Source organism: Homo sapiens, chromosome 19, assembly GCF_000001405.40.
Source record: "Homo sapiens chromosome 19, GRCh38.p14 Primary Assembly".
In the NCBI taxonomy this organism is placed as follows: domain Eukaryota; kingdom Metazoa; phylum Chordata; class Mammalia; order Primates; family Hominidae; genus Homo; species Homo sapiens.
Window position 1 is genome coordinate 42,335,418 of NC_000019.10, and position 16,607 is coordinate 42,352,024.

General features: G+C 52.3%; 1 protein-coding gene and 1 non-coding gene across 3 annotated transcripts in view, besides 1 other annotated feature; both read left to right on the forward strand.

Annotated features, from left to right (window-relative positions):
* Positions 1-16,607, forward strand: part of MEGF8 (multiple EGF like domains 8) — a 53,131-nt gene that overhangs the window by 9,783 nt on the left and 26,741 nt on the right. The window contains exons 6-18 of one of the 2 annotated variants that reach the window (NM_001271938.2): positions 514-929; positions 1,390-1,535; positions 1,667-1,789; positions 8,060-8,214; positions 8,537-8,656; positions 9,024-9,168; positions 9,253-9,416; positions 12,855-13,055; positions 14,082-14,282; positions 14,731-14,967; positions 15,799-15,917; positions 16,012-16,143; positions 16,231-16,344. In NM_001271938.2, the coding sequence (NP_001258867.1) occupies positions 514-929; positions 1,390-1,535; positions 1,667-1,789; positions 8,060-8,214; positions 8,537-8,656; positions 9,024-9,168; positions 9,253-9,416; positions 12,855-13,055; positions 14,082-14,282; positions 14,731-14,967; positions 15,799-15,917; positions 16,012-16,143; positions 16,231-16,344 (2,273 nt within the window). The remainder of the gene's footprint in view (positions 1-513; positions 930-1,389; positions 1,536-1,666; positions 1,790-8,059; positions 8,215-8,536; positions 8,657-9,023; positions 9,169-9,252; positions 9,417-12,854; positions 13,056-14,081; positions 14,283-14,730; positions 14,968-15,798; positions 15,918-16,011; positions 16,144-16,230; positions 16,345-16,607) is intronic. The other variant, NM_001410.3, reaches the window with a different exon arrangement.
* Positions 14,386-14,887: an enhancer, noted in NCBI's record as "H3K4me1 hESC enhancer chr19:42853955-42854456 (GRCh37/hg19 assembly coordinates)". NCBI's record gives its function as "activates a minimal SCP1, AML or CMV promoter by ChIP-STARR-seq in primed H9 embryonic stem cells {active_cell/tissue: H9 hESC(primed)}" and the evidence as "EXISTENCE:reporter gene assay evidence [ECO:0000049][PMID:30033119]".
* Positions 15,714-15,788, forward strand: MIR8077 (microRNA 8077). Its single transcript, NR_107044.1, has one exon. It is a non-coding gene; the product is annotated as a microRNA 8077 (primary transcript).

Consider the following 16,607-nt stretch of genomic DNA (forward strand, 5'->3'; position numbering starts at 1 on the left):
TTCCACTCAATCAGACCCAGCCGGGGACCCCCGGAATGATCCCCTATCACCTAGTGCTCCCACAGTTCCTGCAGCTTGATATAGGAACCTACTTCTCCCTGTTTCTGCCTTTTCTCTCCGGTTTTCTTTTTTCTTCTTCCTCTTCCTTTATCTGCCTTTGTGCATCTTATTTTTCCATGTGTCTCCTGTTGCTCAATCTGTCTCTGTTTTCGTCTGTCTGACTTTTGGGCTTCTGTGTTCTCTGTTTCTGTGTCTCCATCTCTCTGGATCTGTTTCTCTCTGCCATTTGTCCCTTTAACTCTGTCTCCTTGCCTTTTCTCTCTCTTATTGTATTTCTCTGTTTCTATGAGTCTGTCTCTTCTTTTCTCTCTCTGCCGGTCTCTGCCTTTCTCTTTGTCTCTGTCTTTATCTCGCCTTCTCTCCATGTTTCTCTGGCTCTGCATCTCTCTGTCTAAGCCTGGCTCTGGCTCTCTTGCTGTGTCTCTACCTCTGTCTCTTTTCTCTTCCTCACAGGCTGCCCGTCACTCCCATGTGGCCGTGGCCTGGGCCGGCTCCCTGGTACTGATGGGTGGTGAGCTGGCTGACGGCTCGCTCACCAACGACGTGTGGGCCTTCAGTCCACTGGGCAGGGGCCACTGGGAGCTCCTGGCACCACCTGCCTCCAGCTCCTCGGGGCCCCCAGGCCTGGCAGGTCACGCGGCTGCCCTGGTGGATGATGTCTGGCTATATGTGTCTGGAGGCCGCACCCCGCACGACCTCTTCTCCTCTGGCCTCTTCCGTTTCCGCCTTGACAGCACCAGCGGGGGCTATTGGGAGCAGGTGATTCCGGCAGGCGGACGGCCCCCTGCTGCCACTGGCCACTCCATGGTGTTCCATGCCCCCTCCCGTGCCCTGCTGGTCCATGGTGGACACCGGCCCTCCACTGCCCGGTAAGTGACCTGTCCCATAACCCATGCTCCACAGGCCAGGCCCAGCTCAACACCATAGGCCTTTAGTCTTTAGAGGTCTTTGCCCACTGTCGGACTCCTGTGGTCTCTCAGTCACTCCTTCCTTCATGTATTTACTTATTCCTTCGTTCACTCATTCATTCATTCACCCACTCACACATTCTCTGATGTTTTATTCAATCTCTTGGTGAATTGCCTTCCACACACTCCCACCCATGTATCTATTCAACAGAGCCCTGCTTGGTGTCCAGCCCTTGCTAGCTTATGCAGGTAACTCAGAGATGACTCAGGGTCCTGCCCACAGGGAACTTCTAGTTTGGAGGGGACATAGAGTCAGTCATGGCCAGTCTCATCCCTGGGTGATCACATGGCTCCTAAGAGCCTGGAGGAGGGAGAGAGACGCTTCCTGCCCTGAGCCCCTGCCCTGCTTCTCCTTCGGTAGGTTCTCTGTGCGAGTGAACTCCACTGAGCTTTTCCACGTGGATCGGCATGTGTGGACGACGCTGAAGGGGCGGGATGGGCTTCAGGGCCCAAGGGAGCGAGCCTTCCACACAGCCAGTGTTCTGGGCAATTACATGGTGGTCTATGGTGAGGAGGCTCCCCAATCCTGCCTGCCTGCCTGCTGAGGGCCTGAGCCAACCCTGAGCTGAGGCTCCCTGCAGGGGAGTCCCCCCACCTCCCCTAGGCTTGCCAGCTATGCCCCTTTCCTCCATTCCCAGGGGGCAATGTGCACACCCATTACCAGGAGGAAAAGTGCTACGAAGATGGCATCTTCTTCTACCACCTTGGCTGCCATCAATGGGTGTCAGGAGCTGAGCTTGCCCCGCCAGGAACCCCTGAGGGTGAGTGGTCCCTGTTCTTCCCTAGGGGCTCCTGAGGGTCCCACCTCTCTCCATAGTGATTCTGGGCTCAAGCCACCTCAGTCCGTAAGGGTGAGCCTGACATCCAGGCCAGTTGGTGCCAGCCTTAGGAGGCAAGCCTGGGATGGAGATGGGACTAGGGCATCGTCACCATGGAGATGGGAGGCCCTTACCGCAGTATCCAATGTGGGTTCCAATCCAGGTTTTGCCAGTTTCCAGCTGCCCCAGGGAAATGCCTAAGAGGCAGCAACTTTTCCTTCTTTTTAACTTTCTTTTCTTTTCTTTTTTTTTTTTTTTTTTTGAGACGGAGTCTCGCTGTTGCCCAGGCTGGAGTGCAGTGATGTGATCTCAGCTCACTGCAGGCTCCACCCCCCGGGTTTCACGCCATTCTCCTGCCTCAGCCTCCTGCATCGCTGGGACTACAGGCGCCTGCCACCTCACCTGGCTAATTTTTTGTATTTTTAGTAGAGACGGGGTTTCACCGTGTTAGCCAGGGTGGTCTCGATTTCCTGACCTCATGATCTGCCCGCCTCGGCCTCCCAAAGTGCTGGGATTACAGGCGTGAGCCACCATGCCCGGCCTCTTTTCTTTTTTTTTGAGAGGGAGTCTCGCTCCGTCGCCCGGGCTAGAGTGCAGTAGCGTGATCTCAGCTCACTGCGACCTCCACCTCCCGGGTTCAAGCGATTCTCCTGTCTCAGTCTCCTGAGTAGCTGGGATTATAGGCATGCATCTCCATGCCTGGCTAATTTTTTTGTGTTTTTAGTAGAGACAGTGTTTCATCATGTTGGCCAGGCCAGTCTCAAACTCCTGACCTCAAGTGATCCTCCCACGTCAGCCTCCCAAAGTACTGGGATCACATGTGTGAGCCACCATGCTTGGCCTTTTTAACTTTCAATTTAGGTTCAGTGGTACAAGTACAGGTTTATTATATAGGTAAATTGTGTGTCATGGGGATTTGGTGTACTGATTATTTCATCACCCAGGTATTAAGCCTAGTACCCAACAGGTAGGTTTTTTTTTTGTTTTTTTTTTGGGGATGGAGTCTTACTGTGTTGCCCAGGCTGGAATGCAGTGGTGCAATCTTGGCTCACTGCAACTTCCACCTCCTGGGTTCAAGTGATCCTCCCGCCTCAGCCTCCTAAGTAGCTGGGAGTATAGGCGCATGCCACCACACCCGGCTAATCTTTTTGTATTTTTAGTAGAGACGAGGTTTTGCCATGTTGGCAAGGCTGGTCTGGAACTCCTGACCTCAGGTGATCCGCCCACCTCGGCCTCCCAAAGTGCTGCGATTACAGGCGTGAGCCACTGTGCCCAGCCCCAGTAGGTAGTTTTTTGATCCTCTCCCTCCTCCAACCCTCAGGTAGGCCCCTCAAGTGTCTGTTGTTCCCTTCTTTGTGTCCCTGTACACTCGATGTTTTGTTCCCACTTGTGAGAACATGCAGTATTTGGTTTTCTGTTCCTGTATTAGTCTGCTGAGGATAAGGGCCTCTAGCTCCATCCATGCTGATGCAAAGAACATGATCTCATTCTTTTTTATAGCCACATAGTATTCTATGATGTATACGTACCACATTTTCTTTTTTTTTTTTTCTTTCTATGTATTTTTTTTTTTTTTTTTTTTTTTTTTTGAGACGGAGTTTCGCTCTGTCGCCCAGGCTGGAGTGCAGTGGCGGGATCTCGGCTCACTGCAACCTCCACCTCCCAGGTTCAAGCGATTCTCCTGCCTCAGCCTCCCGAGTAGATGGATTACAGGCGCCTACCACCACAGCCGGCTAATTTTTGTATTTTTAGTAGAGACGGGGTTTCACCATGTTGGCTAGGCTGGTCTCAAACTCCTGACCTCAGGTGATCCACCTGCCTCGGCCTCCCAAATTGCTGGGATTACAGGCGTGAGCCAATGCGCCTGGCCTCCATTTTCTTTATCCAGTCTATCATTGATGGGCATTTAGGTTGATTCCATGTCTTTGCTATTGTGAACAGTGCTGCTTTGAACATACACGTTAGAACAATTTATATTCCTTGGGGTATATACCCGATAATGGGATTGCTGGGTCAAATGGTAATTCTGTTTTAAGTTATTTGAGAAATCTTCAAACTGCTTTCCACAATGCCTGAACTAATTTACATTCCCATCTGCAACCTCACTCGCATGTGTTATTTTTTGACTTTTTGATAATAGCCATTCTGACTGGTGTGAGATGGTATCTCATTGTGGTTTTGATTTGCATTTCTCTCATGATTAGTGATATTGAGCATTTTTTCATATGCTTATTGGCCACGTGTATGTCTTCTTTTGAAAAATGTCTGTTCATGTCCTTTGTCTACTTTTTAATGGGGTTGTTTTTTGCTTGTTAGTTTATTTAAGTTCCTTATAGGTTCTGGATGTTAGATCTTTGTTGGATGCATAGTTTGCAAATATTTTCTCACATTCTGTACATTGTTTACTCTGTTGATAGTATCTTTAGCAGTAACTTTTTCAAGATCACAGTAGATAAGTGACAGAGCCAGCATGGCTATCCCCAAACAACAATCTGTATAAAACTATCACTTAAGGCCGGGTGCAGTGGCTCACACCTGTAATCCCAGCACTTTAGGACGCCATGGCGGGCAGATCATGAGGTCAGGGGTTTGAGACCATCCTGGTTAACATGGTAAAACCCCATCTCTACTAAAAATACAAAAAATTAGCTAGTCATGGTGGCATGCGCCTGTAGTCCCAGCTACTCAGGAGACTGAGGCAGGAGAATTGCTTGAACCTGGGAGGCAGAGCTTGCAGTGAGCTGAGTTCGCACCACTGCACTCCCACCTGGGCAACAGAGTGAGATTCCGTCCCCAAAAAAACAAAAACAAAAACTATTACTTAATCTCTGTGCCTCAGTTTGCTCATCTGTGAAATGAAAATTATAACACGTAATGCCATTGGATAGCTGTAAGAGTAAATTGAGATGATCCTTCAAGAATGATGCCCAGTGAAGTGCTCCACACATTTCCTTTCTTTTTTAAAATTTTTATTATTTATTTTTGAGACAGAGTCTTGCTCTGTTGCCCAGACTGAAGTGCAGTGGTGTGATCTTGGCTCACTCCAATCTCTGCCTCCGAGGTTCAAGCAATTCTCATGCTTCAGCCTTCTGAGTAGCTGGGACTAGAAGCGTGTGCCACCACACCCGGCTAATTTTTGTATTTTTAGTAGAGATGGGGTTTGCCATGTTGACCAGGTGGGTCTCGAACTCCTGGCCTCAAGTGATCCATCTGCCTCGGCCTCCCAAAGTGCTGGGATTACAGGCGTGAGCCACCGTGCCTGGCCTAATTTTTGTATTTTTTTAGTAGAGATGGGGTTTCACTGTGTTGACCTTGTGATCTGCCCGCCTGGGCCTCCCAAAGTGCTAGGATTATAAGCATGAGCCACCGTGCCCGGCCAGGCATTATTATTATTGTTGTTACTATTTTGTTTTATTTTACTTGAGATGGAGTCTTGCTCTGTCACCCAGGCTGGAGTGCGGTAGCATAGTCTCCACTCACTGCAACCTCCACCTCCCGTGTTCAAGCTATTCTCCTGCCTCAGCCTCCTGAGTAGCTGGGATTATAGATGTGCACCACCACTCCTGGCTAATTTTTGTATTTTTGGTAGAGTTGAAGTTTTGCCATGTTTGCCAGGCTGGTCTTGAAGTCCTGACCTTAAGTAATCTGCCTGCCTGGGCCTCCCAAAGTTCTGGGATTACAGGCATGAGCCACCACGCCCGGCCTATTGTTACTATTTTAGAGGCAGAGTCTTGTTCTGTTGCCCAACCTGGAGTGCAGTGGTGCAGTCATAGCCCACTGCAGCCTTGACCTCCCGGGCTCAAGCAGTCCTCCCACCTCTGCCTCCCAAGTGGTTGGGACCACAGGCCCATGCTACCCTTCCCAGCTAATTAAAAACAGAATTTTTGGCCAGGCACTGTGGCTCATTCCTGTAATGCCAGCACTTTGGGAGGCCAAGGCGGGAAAATCGTGAGGTCAGGAGTTCGAGACCAGCCTGGTTAATATGGTGAAACCCTGTCTCTACTAAAAATACAAAAATTAGCTGGCGTGGTGGTAGATGCCTGTGGTCACAGCTACTCAGGAGGCTGAGGCAGGAGAATCGCTTGAACCCAGGAGGCGGAGGTTGCAGTGAGCCAAGATCGTGCCACTGCACTCCAGCCTGGGTAACAGAGGGATACTCCATCTCCAAAAAAAAAAAAAAAAAAAAACACACATAAAAACAGATTTTTTAAAATTTTTTGTAGAGATGAGGCCTCCCTATGTTGCCCAGAGTGGTCTTGAGCTCCTAGGCTCAAGTCATCCTTCCATCTCAGCCTCCCAAATAGCTGTGACCATAGGCACACAATACCACGCCTGGCTAATTAAATAAAATATTTTTGTTTTTTAGAGATAGGGTCTTGCTGTGTTGTCCAGGCTAGTGTTGAACTCCTGGCCTCAAGCGAGCCTTGTGAGATCCAGCCTCCCAACGTGCTGTGATTATAGACGTGAACTACCACGCCCAGACATATTGTCTTTCTTATAGCAGTTAGGGTCCTGTCTCAGGGCCAGAGGGGTCACCAGGGAGGAGATATGGAGAAACCTTTCACTCTCATTAAATCAGACACTGCTTTGAAATCGGATGAAAGCCACAGGCCCTCTCTTCAGAAGATGCTTATACCTGCAAGTTGGGCGTATCACTTCGGGGACGTGTGGGCTTCCCAGAGTCGCATCTGTTCACTCCTCCTCCCTGAAAAGGAGAGAGAGGAGAGGACAAGCGTAAGGAAGGAACCTTAGCACTTAAGGGATGGGAAGGAGGAAAGGCCCCAGAGGAACCCTGTGTGACCATCAGGAATAAAGTCCAGGCCTGGTGTCTGAGGCCCTCATTCTAGGTCTCGTCTGCCTATCCCTTGGTCCCCTTCACTGGGCAGGAGTCAGGAGTGTGATGTTTCTGGAGGCCTCTTCCTGCTTCGCAGTTTGTGATTACCTGGGCCAAGTCCCACACGTTTACAGTGCACGCAGGTCAGTAAGAGGGTAGGGAAGTCACCATTCACTGACCACTTACCTGTCAGTCAGGATTCTTGGCTGTAACTGACAGAAACCCAACCCAGCTGGCTTAAGCAAAAAGGAGAATTTCTGGCTGGGCACGGTGGCTCATGCCTGTAATCCCAGCACTTTGGGAGGCCGAGGCGAGTGGATCACGAGGTCAGGAGATCGAGACTGTCCTGGCTAACACAGTAAAACCCCGTTTTTACTAAAACACAAAAAATTAGCCGGGCTTGGTGGCGGGCGCCTGTAGTCTCAGCTACTTGGGAGGCTGAGGCAGGAGAATGGTGTGAACCCGGGAGACAGAGCTTGCAGTGAGCTGAGATCGTGGCACGGCACTGCAGCCTGGGTGACAAAGCGAGACTCTGTCTCAAAAAAAAAAAAAAGGAATTTCCTGGCTCACTTGAGTGAAAACTGTAGGGGCTGTCTTCAGGCTGGGCTGGATCTAGGTGCTCACAAAATGGCATCAGCCATTTCTCACTCAATTTTTCAGCTGGGTTCACTTCAGTCTCTTGCCTTGTGTAGATGGTCACAGGCAGCTCGTGGATTATCTTCTGCCATAAAATGCCCAGAAAGAAGGGAGTGTCTTTGCCCCAAGAATTGAGAATCAGGCCCTGTACCCCTCCCTGAGCCAGTCACTGAGACTGATGGGCCTGGGCTAAGGCCTCACTTCTGCCAGAACCAGGGACAACTCCACCTAAGTCTCACAGATTGGGAAAGGGAAAGGTTGGTTTTCCAGAGGAAAATCAGGCGCTATCACCAGAAGAGAGGCTGGTGCTAGACAGACAAAAATGGGAGACTGAGGCAGCCTACTGGGGGCTCAGCAGATTCTTCAGTCCTCCCAGCTCCCTGAGGACGAGATGATGGTTCTTTTTATAGAGGAGGAAACCAAGACTCAGAGAAGTTCAGTCTCCTGTCCAGGGTCACACAGCTAGTCAGTAGTTGATCCACGATTTGAACCCAAGTAAGTGGTAGATGCAGGATTTGAACCCAAGTCTTTCTGACCCTAAAGATCAGAAAGATGATTTGGGTAGGGGCGAGGGAGCTCAGCTTGTTCAGGGCCAGGTGGGCTGGGAGAGTGTCCTTGGGCAGGTGAGGTTGAAGCAGCCACCGGAATAGAAGGCTGGGCTGTGGCCCAGGAGAATCAGGAGCCATGGAGGTGGTGGAGGGGCTGGGGGTCTAATAATGTCATTGGGGTCTCTATTCCCCTAGGCCGAGCAGCGCCTCCCAGTGGTCGGTACTCACATGTAGCTGCGGTGCTTGGTGGCAGCGTCCTGTTGGTGGCTGGGGGGTACAGCGGCCGGCCCCGTGGGGACTTGATGGCGTACAAGGTGCCCCCCTTTGTGTTCCAGGCACCTGCCCCTGACGTGAGCACTGGGGTGACAGGGAAAGGGTGGCTGGGGGGAGGAGGTAGCAGGGTTTCCACAGGTGAGGGGAAAGGCAGGAGGGGATCCCTGGGAGAAGGAGTGGGGATCCCTAGGACCATGAGAGAAGGGAAGGAGGTCCCTGGGGCAGAGGAAAGAGGAGCTAGAGGTCCCTGGGCCTGGGGGAGGAATGGATGGGCATGCTGAGCACTCAGGGTCCTCTGGGATAGCTAAAGCAAGCGGGGACTTGGGAGGCCGGCCCAGGTCTGAGAGGCCTCCTCCTCCGTCCCCTTGCCTCCCCCTCTGTCCCCTTGCCTCCCTGCAGTACCACTTGGACTACTGCTCCATGTACACAGACCACAGCGTCTGCTCCCGGGACCCGGAATGCAGTTGGTGCCAAGGAGCCTGCCAAGCTGCACCCCCTCCTGGGACCCCCTTGGGGGCTGTGAGTGACAGCCCTAGACCCTCTGTTCCCTAGCATAGAGACCTGCCCTCAGTGTCTCCCTCTGCCTAACCAGATGGACAAGAACTTTCCCTCAACTGGGAGACTTGTTTTCATGCCGGAGATCCTCCTTCCTGATTCCTGACTGCGGAGCCCTGAACCTTTGCCTATCCCACCCAGCCCGACCCTTTTGAGCCCGTGACCCCATCCCCGCATCCCCCGTCCTCTGGATCTCCCACATTCCAAGTCAACTCCCCGTTCTTCAGTTTTTTCGCCCTTTCCATCGCAGGACCCTGTATCCACAGCCCTTCCTTCCCAGATCTCTTGAGCTCCAGTTGACAGTGAGCCCTTTCCCCTCTCCTCCTCGCAGTGTCCAGCCGCCAGCTGCCTGGGCCTGGGCCGCCTCCTGGGTGACTGCCAGGCCTGCCTGGCCTTCAGCAGCCCCACAGCCCCTCCACGGGGACCTGGCACCCTGGGCTGGTGCGTGCACAATGAGAGCTGCCTCCCTAGGCCTGGTGAGTGTCCGCAGCAGTGGGCCGGCAGGAGGGGGCCAGAGCACTCCACACTGACCCACCGGCCCCCACCCCCTGTCTTCTCAGAGCAGGCCCGCTGCCGAGGGGAGCAGATCTCAGGCACTGTGGGCTGGTGGGGGCCTGCGCCTGTCTTCGTCACGTCCCTGGAGGCCTGCGTCACCCAGAGCTTCCTGCCTGGCCTGCACTTGCTCACCTTTCAGCAGCCGCCCAATACCTCCCAGCCTGACAAGGTGGGTAGGAGGCGTGGCCCTGGGTGGGGTGTTGATGATCCTGATCCTAGGGTTTGTTTTTTCTCAAATGCATCTTTATCACTCTTATGTTTACTCCAAAACTCTTTACATTCAAGGGTCTTATTTTCCTTATGGACTTTATTTTTTATTTTTTTTGAGAGGGAGTCTTGCTCTGTCACCCAGGCTGAAGTGCAGTGGCGCAGTCTCAGCTCACTGCAACCTCTGCCTCCTGGGTTCAAGTGATTCTCCTGCCTCAGCCTCCTGAGTAGCCGAGATTACAGATGCCCGCCACTGCGCCCAGCTAATTTTTGTATTTTAGTAGAAGACGAAGTTTCACCATGTTGGTCAGGCTGGTCTTGAGCTCTTGACTTTAAATGATCCGCCTGCCTTGGCCTCCCAAAACTCTGGGATTACAGGCATGAGCCGCTGTGCCTGGCCTCCTTATAGATTTTAAAAAGAATTTTTACATTGTGGTAAAATACACATAAAATTTTTCATCAGTGACATTTAGCACATTTACAATATTGTGCAATCATCACCACTATCTTGTTACAGAACATTTTCATCACCCCAGAGGACAACCCTGGACTCACTAAGTAGTCACTCTCTATTCCACTCTTCCCCCCGGTCCCTGGCAGCTACTAATCTGTTTTCCATCTCTGGATTTGCCAGTTCTGGACATTTCATGTACATGGAGGCCTGTACTATGTGGCCTTTTGTGTCTGGCTTCTTTCACTCAGCGTAATGTTTTCAAGGCTCATTCATTTTATAACTTCATTTGGAAAGGAACTCTATTCCTTTTTATGGTTGAGTAATATTCCATTGTATAGATGGACCACATTTTGTTTATCCATTCATCAGCTGATGGACGTTTGGGCTGTTTCCATCTTTTGACTATTGTGAATAATGCTGGTATGAGCACTTGTGTACACGTTTTTGTTTGAACATCTGTTTTCAATTCTTGTGGCTGTATACCTAGGAGCAGAATTGCTGGGTTATATGTTAATTCCATATTCATCTTATTGAGGAATGTCCAAACTGTTTTCCACAGTACCTCTTTATTGATTTTTTGTTGTTGTTGTTGAGACAGAGTCTCTCTCTCTGTCGCCCAGGCTGGAGTGCAGTGGCACGATCTTGGCTCACTGCAACCTGCAGCTCCCGGGTTCAAGTGATTCTCCTGCCTCAGCCTGCTGAGTAGCTGGAACTACAGGCACTTGCCACCACACTCGGCTAATTTTTTGTATTTTTAGTAGAGATGGGGTTTCACTGTGTTAGCCAGCATGGTCTCGATCTCCTGACCTCATGATCTGCCTGCCTCAGCCTCCCAAAGTGCTGGGATTACAGGCATGAGCCACCATGCCCGGCCTCTTTATTGATTTTAAAAATAGCTCATATATTCACATGGTTCAAAAATCACAGTGACATCAAAAGTCATTGGGGCTGGGCACGGTGGCTCACGCCTGTAATTCCGGCCGAGGTGGGCGGATCTCTTGAGGTCAGGAGTTTGAGACCAGCCTGGCCAACATGGTGAAACCCTGTCTCTACTAAAACTACAAAAATTAGCCGGGCGTGATGTCGGGTGCCTGTAATCCCAGCACTTTGGGAGGCTAAGGTGGGAGGATCACTTGAGGTCAGGAGTTTGAGATCAGCCTGGCCAACATTACGAAATCCCATCTCTACTAAAAATACAAAAATTAGCTGCTCATGGTGATGCGTGCCTGTAGTCCCAGCTACCTGGGAGGCTGAGGGAGGAGTATCTCTTGAGCCTGGGAGGCAGAGGTTACAGTGACCCAAGATCACGCCACTGCATTGCAGCCTGGGCAACAGAGTGAGACTCCATTTTAATTAAAAATAAATAAATAAATAAAAGGCTGGGCACGGTGGCTCACGCCGGTAATCCCAGCACTTTGTGAGGCCAAGGCAGGCGGATTACAAGGTCAGGAGAGCGAGACCGTCCTGGCTAACACAGTGAAGCCCTGTCTCTAATAAAAATACAAAAAAATTAGCTGGGTGTGGTGGTGAGCACCTGTAGTCCCAGCTACTCAGGAGTCTGAAGCAGGAGAATGGCGTGAACCCGAGAGGTGGAGCTTGCAGTCAGCTGAGATCATGTCACTGCACTCCAGCCTGGGTGACAGAGAGAGACTCTGTCTCAAAAAAAAAAAAAAAAAAAAAGAAAAAGAAAAAGAAAAAAAAGTCACTAAATGGACAGTCTCTCTCATTTACCCCACTCCCTACCCCTTAAGTGGTCCAAAATTATCTAGCTCCAGCATGGCTGCAACTTAAGGCCACCATACCTCCCTGGAAGATCCATTTGGGTTTCTTTGATCTTATTCCAGAATTTACCTATTCAGATGCAAGTAAGCATGACATCATATCATTTTTCTTTCTCACTAAACTAATATACTATGAACATTATACGACTGCTTCCTTTTTTTCTTCCTGGCAAGCTTCCCATAACAGAACTTAAGAAACACTCTCATTCTTTTTTTTTTTTTTTTTTTGAGATGGAGTCTCTCTCTATCGCCCAGGCTGGAGTGCAGTGGCAAGCGATTTCAGCTCACTGCAACCCTGCCTCCCGGGCTTAAGTGATCTTCCCACCTTAGCCTCCCAAGTAGCTGGGATTACAAACATGCACCACCATGCCTGGCTGTTTTTTGTATTTTTTTTGTTTGTTTTGAGACGGAGTTTTGCTCTTGTTGCACAGGCTGGAGTGCAATGGCGCAATCTCGGCTCAGTGCAACCTCTGCCTCCCGGGTTTGAACGATTCTCCTGCCTCAGGCTCCCAAGTAGCTGGGATTACAAGTGCACGCTACCACTCCCGGCTAATTTTTTGTATTTAGTAGAGATGGGGTTTCACCATGTTGGTCAGGCTGGTCTTGAACTCCTGACCTCAAGTGATCTGCCCACCTCGGCCTCCCAAAGTGCCCGCCGTGCCCAGCCTTCATTCTTCTTTTTTTTTTTAAGTTGTATAATATTCCATTTACATTTGTAGTTTATTTAAATAGCCTCCCACTGGTGAACACTTGGACTGTTCCACTCTTCTGCTATTACAAAATCACACACCAGGAAAATAAATCTTGCACTTTGTCTGCCACTTTGAATATTAGATCTGGGCTTTGAAGTGCTTAGCTGGAAAGGTGAGGAGTTGGATAAGAAGACACTGAAGTGTCCAGTCCTGGAGTTTTAATGTGAGATGGAAATGGCTAGAGGCCAGGGGTAAAGGTGGGCTCTGGGACCCTGTCGTCTATTGTCTGAATTTAGGTCTTGCCTCTTTTCCCAGAGTGACCTTTGACAAGCCACCTAACCCCTGTCCCTCTGCCTCAGTCTCTCATTTGGTAAAATGGGGAAGAAGGTTGGGTTGACCAGTCTTTTCTGGCTCTGATGTGGCCTGTGAGTCCAGAAAGGGACTCACACATACACCCATCCCTGGTGGCACAGGTCTCAATTGTCCGCAGCACGACCATCACCCTAACACCCAGCGCAGAGACAGATGTGTCCCTGGTCTACCGTGGCTTCATCTACCCAATGCTGCCTGGAGGGCCAGGTGGACCAGGGGCTGAGGACGTGGCCGTGTGGACGCGGGCCCAGCGCCTACACGTCCTGGCCCGGATGGCCCGTGGCCCTGACACGGAGAACATGGTGAGGCCGCCTGGGACATTCAGGGGGTTGTTTATGGTAAATAGGGAGTTAGGGGTGTGGTATAGAGCATCTGTGGTGATTTGAAGGTTCTGGGGAAGGGCTGGGGAGAAATTAGAGGCAGGAGATGGATTTTTTGTGTGTGTGTAAGACAGAGTCTCACTCTGTTGTCCAGGCTGGAGTGCAGTGGCGCGATCTCGGCTCACTGCTACCTTCACCTCCCAGGTTCAAGCAATTCTTCTGCCTCAGCCTCCCACGTAGCTGGGATTACAGATGTGCATCAGCACTCCTGGCTAATTTTTTTGCATTTTAAGTAAAGATGGGTTTTCACCATGTTGGCCAGGCTGGTTTGGAACTCCTGACCTCAGATGATCCGCCACCTTGGCCTCCCAAAGTGCTGGGATTACAGGCGTAAGCCACTGCGCCTGGCTGGGAATGGATCTTTCGTAGAGGAGGGAGGGTGCTGAGGTTTTCAATTGTGAGCAGAATTTGAGGGAAACTTTGAAGCAGGTGAGGAAGGTCTGAGTCAGACTTGAAAGGCCCCTGAAGGCTGGGCATGGAGGTGTACACCTGTAATCCCAGCCCTTTGGGAGGTAGGGGCAGGTGGATTGCCTGAACCCAGAAGTTTGGGACTAGCCTGGGAAACATGGCGAGACATCATCTCTCCAAAAAATACAAAAATTAGCTGGCCATGGTAGCATGCACCTGTAGTCCCAGCTATTTGGGAGGCTGAGGTGGGAGGATCACTTGAACCTGGGAAGTTGAGGCTGCAGTGAGCCATGATCGCATCACTGCACTTCAGCCTGAGTGATGGAATGAGACCCTGTCTCAAGAAAAAAAAAAAAAAAAAAGCCCCTGAGGAGGAGGGTCCCTGGGGGTCTCACCTCTGAGGTTCTCAGGATCTAAGGAGCTCTGAGGCCCTCTTCTTAGGAGGGGGTGGGGTACAGGGTGGGTTTGGAGGTATCAGGGGTCTGAGGAAGGAATGGGAAGGGTTCTGAGGCCCCTGCCTATCACTCACACCTACCCCAGGAGGAGGTGGGGCGCTGGGTGGCTCATCAGGAGAAGGAGACGCGGCGGCTGCAGCGCCCTGGGTCTGCTCGCCTCTTCCCTCTGCCTGGGCGGGACCACAAGTATGCAGTAGAGATCCAGGGCCAGCTCAATGGCTCGGCAGGCCCTGGGCACAGCGAGCTAACTCTGCTGTGGGATCGGACTGGTGTGCCAGGAGGCAGCGTGAGTACCCAGGACCTACCTCCAACCCTAGCCGCAGGCCCCAGCCTCAGATCACCTGGGCTTTCTGAACCCCAGGCCACAAACTCTGAAATCCCTAGATTCTGGCCTCGGACTCCTTAACTCTTGGCCTCTGAACTCTGGACCTCCTCTTGAACCCTGTGGCCCCTGACCTCTGCCTATAGACCCTAACCTGATCCCATATTTTGACCCCCATCTTCTGACTCCTCACCCTTGACCCTGCTGACCCTGACCTCTGCCCTCCATACTTTGACCTATAATAATCTCCAGATTCCTCCAGACCTTGGACCTCTTTACTGATTTCCTAAATCCTGACTTCCTATGTGCCTGAGTTCTCAACCTGGGCTCCAAACCCTTACTTTCAGTTAGCGCCAGACTCTGACCCCTGCCCCAGACCTTGACTGCTGCCTTCCTGTGACCCCTTCCCCAGGAGATCTCCTTCTTCTTCCTGGAGCCCTACCGCTCGTCGTCCTGCACCTCCTATTCTTCCTGCCTGGGCTGCTTGGCAGACCAGGGCTGTGGCTGGTGCCTGACCAGTGCCACCTGCCACCTGCGCCAGGGCGGAGCCCATTGCGGGGATGACGGGGCTGGTGGGTCCCTGCTGGTGCTGGTGCCTACCCTCTGCCCACTCTGCGAGGAGCATCGGGACTGCCACGCCTGCACCCAGGTGCCTGTGGGGCCACCAGGGGAGGTCACAAGGTGGAGGGAGCCACAGCAGGCAATGGGCAGTCAAGGGAACCCCTGGTGGGGGGTGTGGGGGAAACAGCAAGGGCTTTTGGCCTTGATCTGCAGAGCCTGGTGGGGAGGGTGAGATGGAGCTGTAGAGAGAGGCACCTGGGGAGTCAGGACTCTCCCTGTTGTAGGGGCCAGAGAATGCAACTCCATCCTTTTCCACTAGCGGGGAGTTTCTCAGCATAGGCACTGGAGCCCAGGAGTAGGCCTTCAGGCCTGCCACCTCCAAGTGATGTCAGGCAGCCCTCGACACCCTGCTTCCTCTTGTTCCCTGGGAGGGTTTGTTTCCTTGTGAGTGGCAAGGGAGCCGTTAAGGGTCCAGGCTCTAAGTCCCTGCTCTGTCTCAAACAGAGTGAGGCTTCCTATTTCTCTCCCCCCACCCCACCACCATCCAGGAGCTCAACAGAAGTCCCAGAATTGCACTTCTGTGGCTCTGGTTGGGCCTTGTACAGGCTCCTGGGCCAATGACTGGAGTTGTGGGGAGGGAATGTGGCCCCTTGCCCACCTCTGGATCCTGAGGATTGAATAAGCCCCACCCGGACCACACAGAAGGGGTGCTATTGCCTAAAGGAGACAGTGGGTGCTGGGCGGGCCGACCCATGGGTGTCTGTGGTCGAAGGGAGGGGTCCAGAGACGCAGGCAGCTGGGGAGGGAGATGGCCTTACAGGGACAGTCTGCAGGGTGGGGCAGGGGGTGGGATGGGCACTGGGAGTCCAAAGGAAAGGGCTGAGTGGGGTTCTGACTCCTCTGCCCAACTGACCCCCAGGACCCCTTCTGTGAGTGGCATCAGAGCACCAGCCGCAAAGGGGACGCGGCATGCAGCCGGCGGGGCCGGGGTCGGGGTGCCCTGAAGAGTCCAGAGGAGTGTCCCCCGCTCTGCAGCCAGTGAGTCAGGCTGGGTGCAGGGAGTGGGTGGGTGGATGTGCCTGGGGATGTGTGCTGGCTGTGGAGTGACCTGGCCCCCTGCTCCCCACCCCAGGCGACTGACCTGTGAGGACTGCCTGGCCAACTCTAGCCAGTGCGCCTGGTGCCAGTCCACCCACACCTGCTTCCTGTTTGCTGCCTACTTGGCCCGGTACCCACACGGGGGCTGTCGAGGCTGGGACGACAGGTATGGTCCCTGGGGCAGGGCTAACAGAGGAAGATTCCCCACCGGCAAGGGGCTGGGGCTCTGACCCCCACCCCTGCCATCCTGCAGTGTACACTCGGAGCCACGGTGCCGGAGCTGCGATGGCTTCCTGACCTGCCATGAGTGTCTGCAGAGCCACGAGTGTGGCTGGTGTGGCAATGAGGACAACCCCACACTGGGACGGTGAGCCCGGGCAGGTGGGTGGGCAGGGTGCCCGGCTGTGTCCTTCCTCCATGACCGGTCATTCTAATGGCCTCTTTGCTTCTCTGCCCTCTTGCCCATCCCATGGCCACCTTCCCTTTTCCGTACTGTTTTTCTGTTGTTTATTTTACCCTCCCGCTCTTTTTTCTCCATTTTTCCTCCTTTTCCGGCTCTCTGCGATTCGTTTTCTTTCTCCTTGTCTGTTTCTGTCTCTCCGCTCTCCCTTTCACTGCATCTCTGTCTAT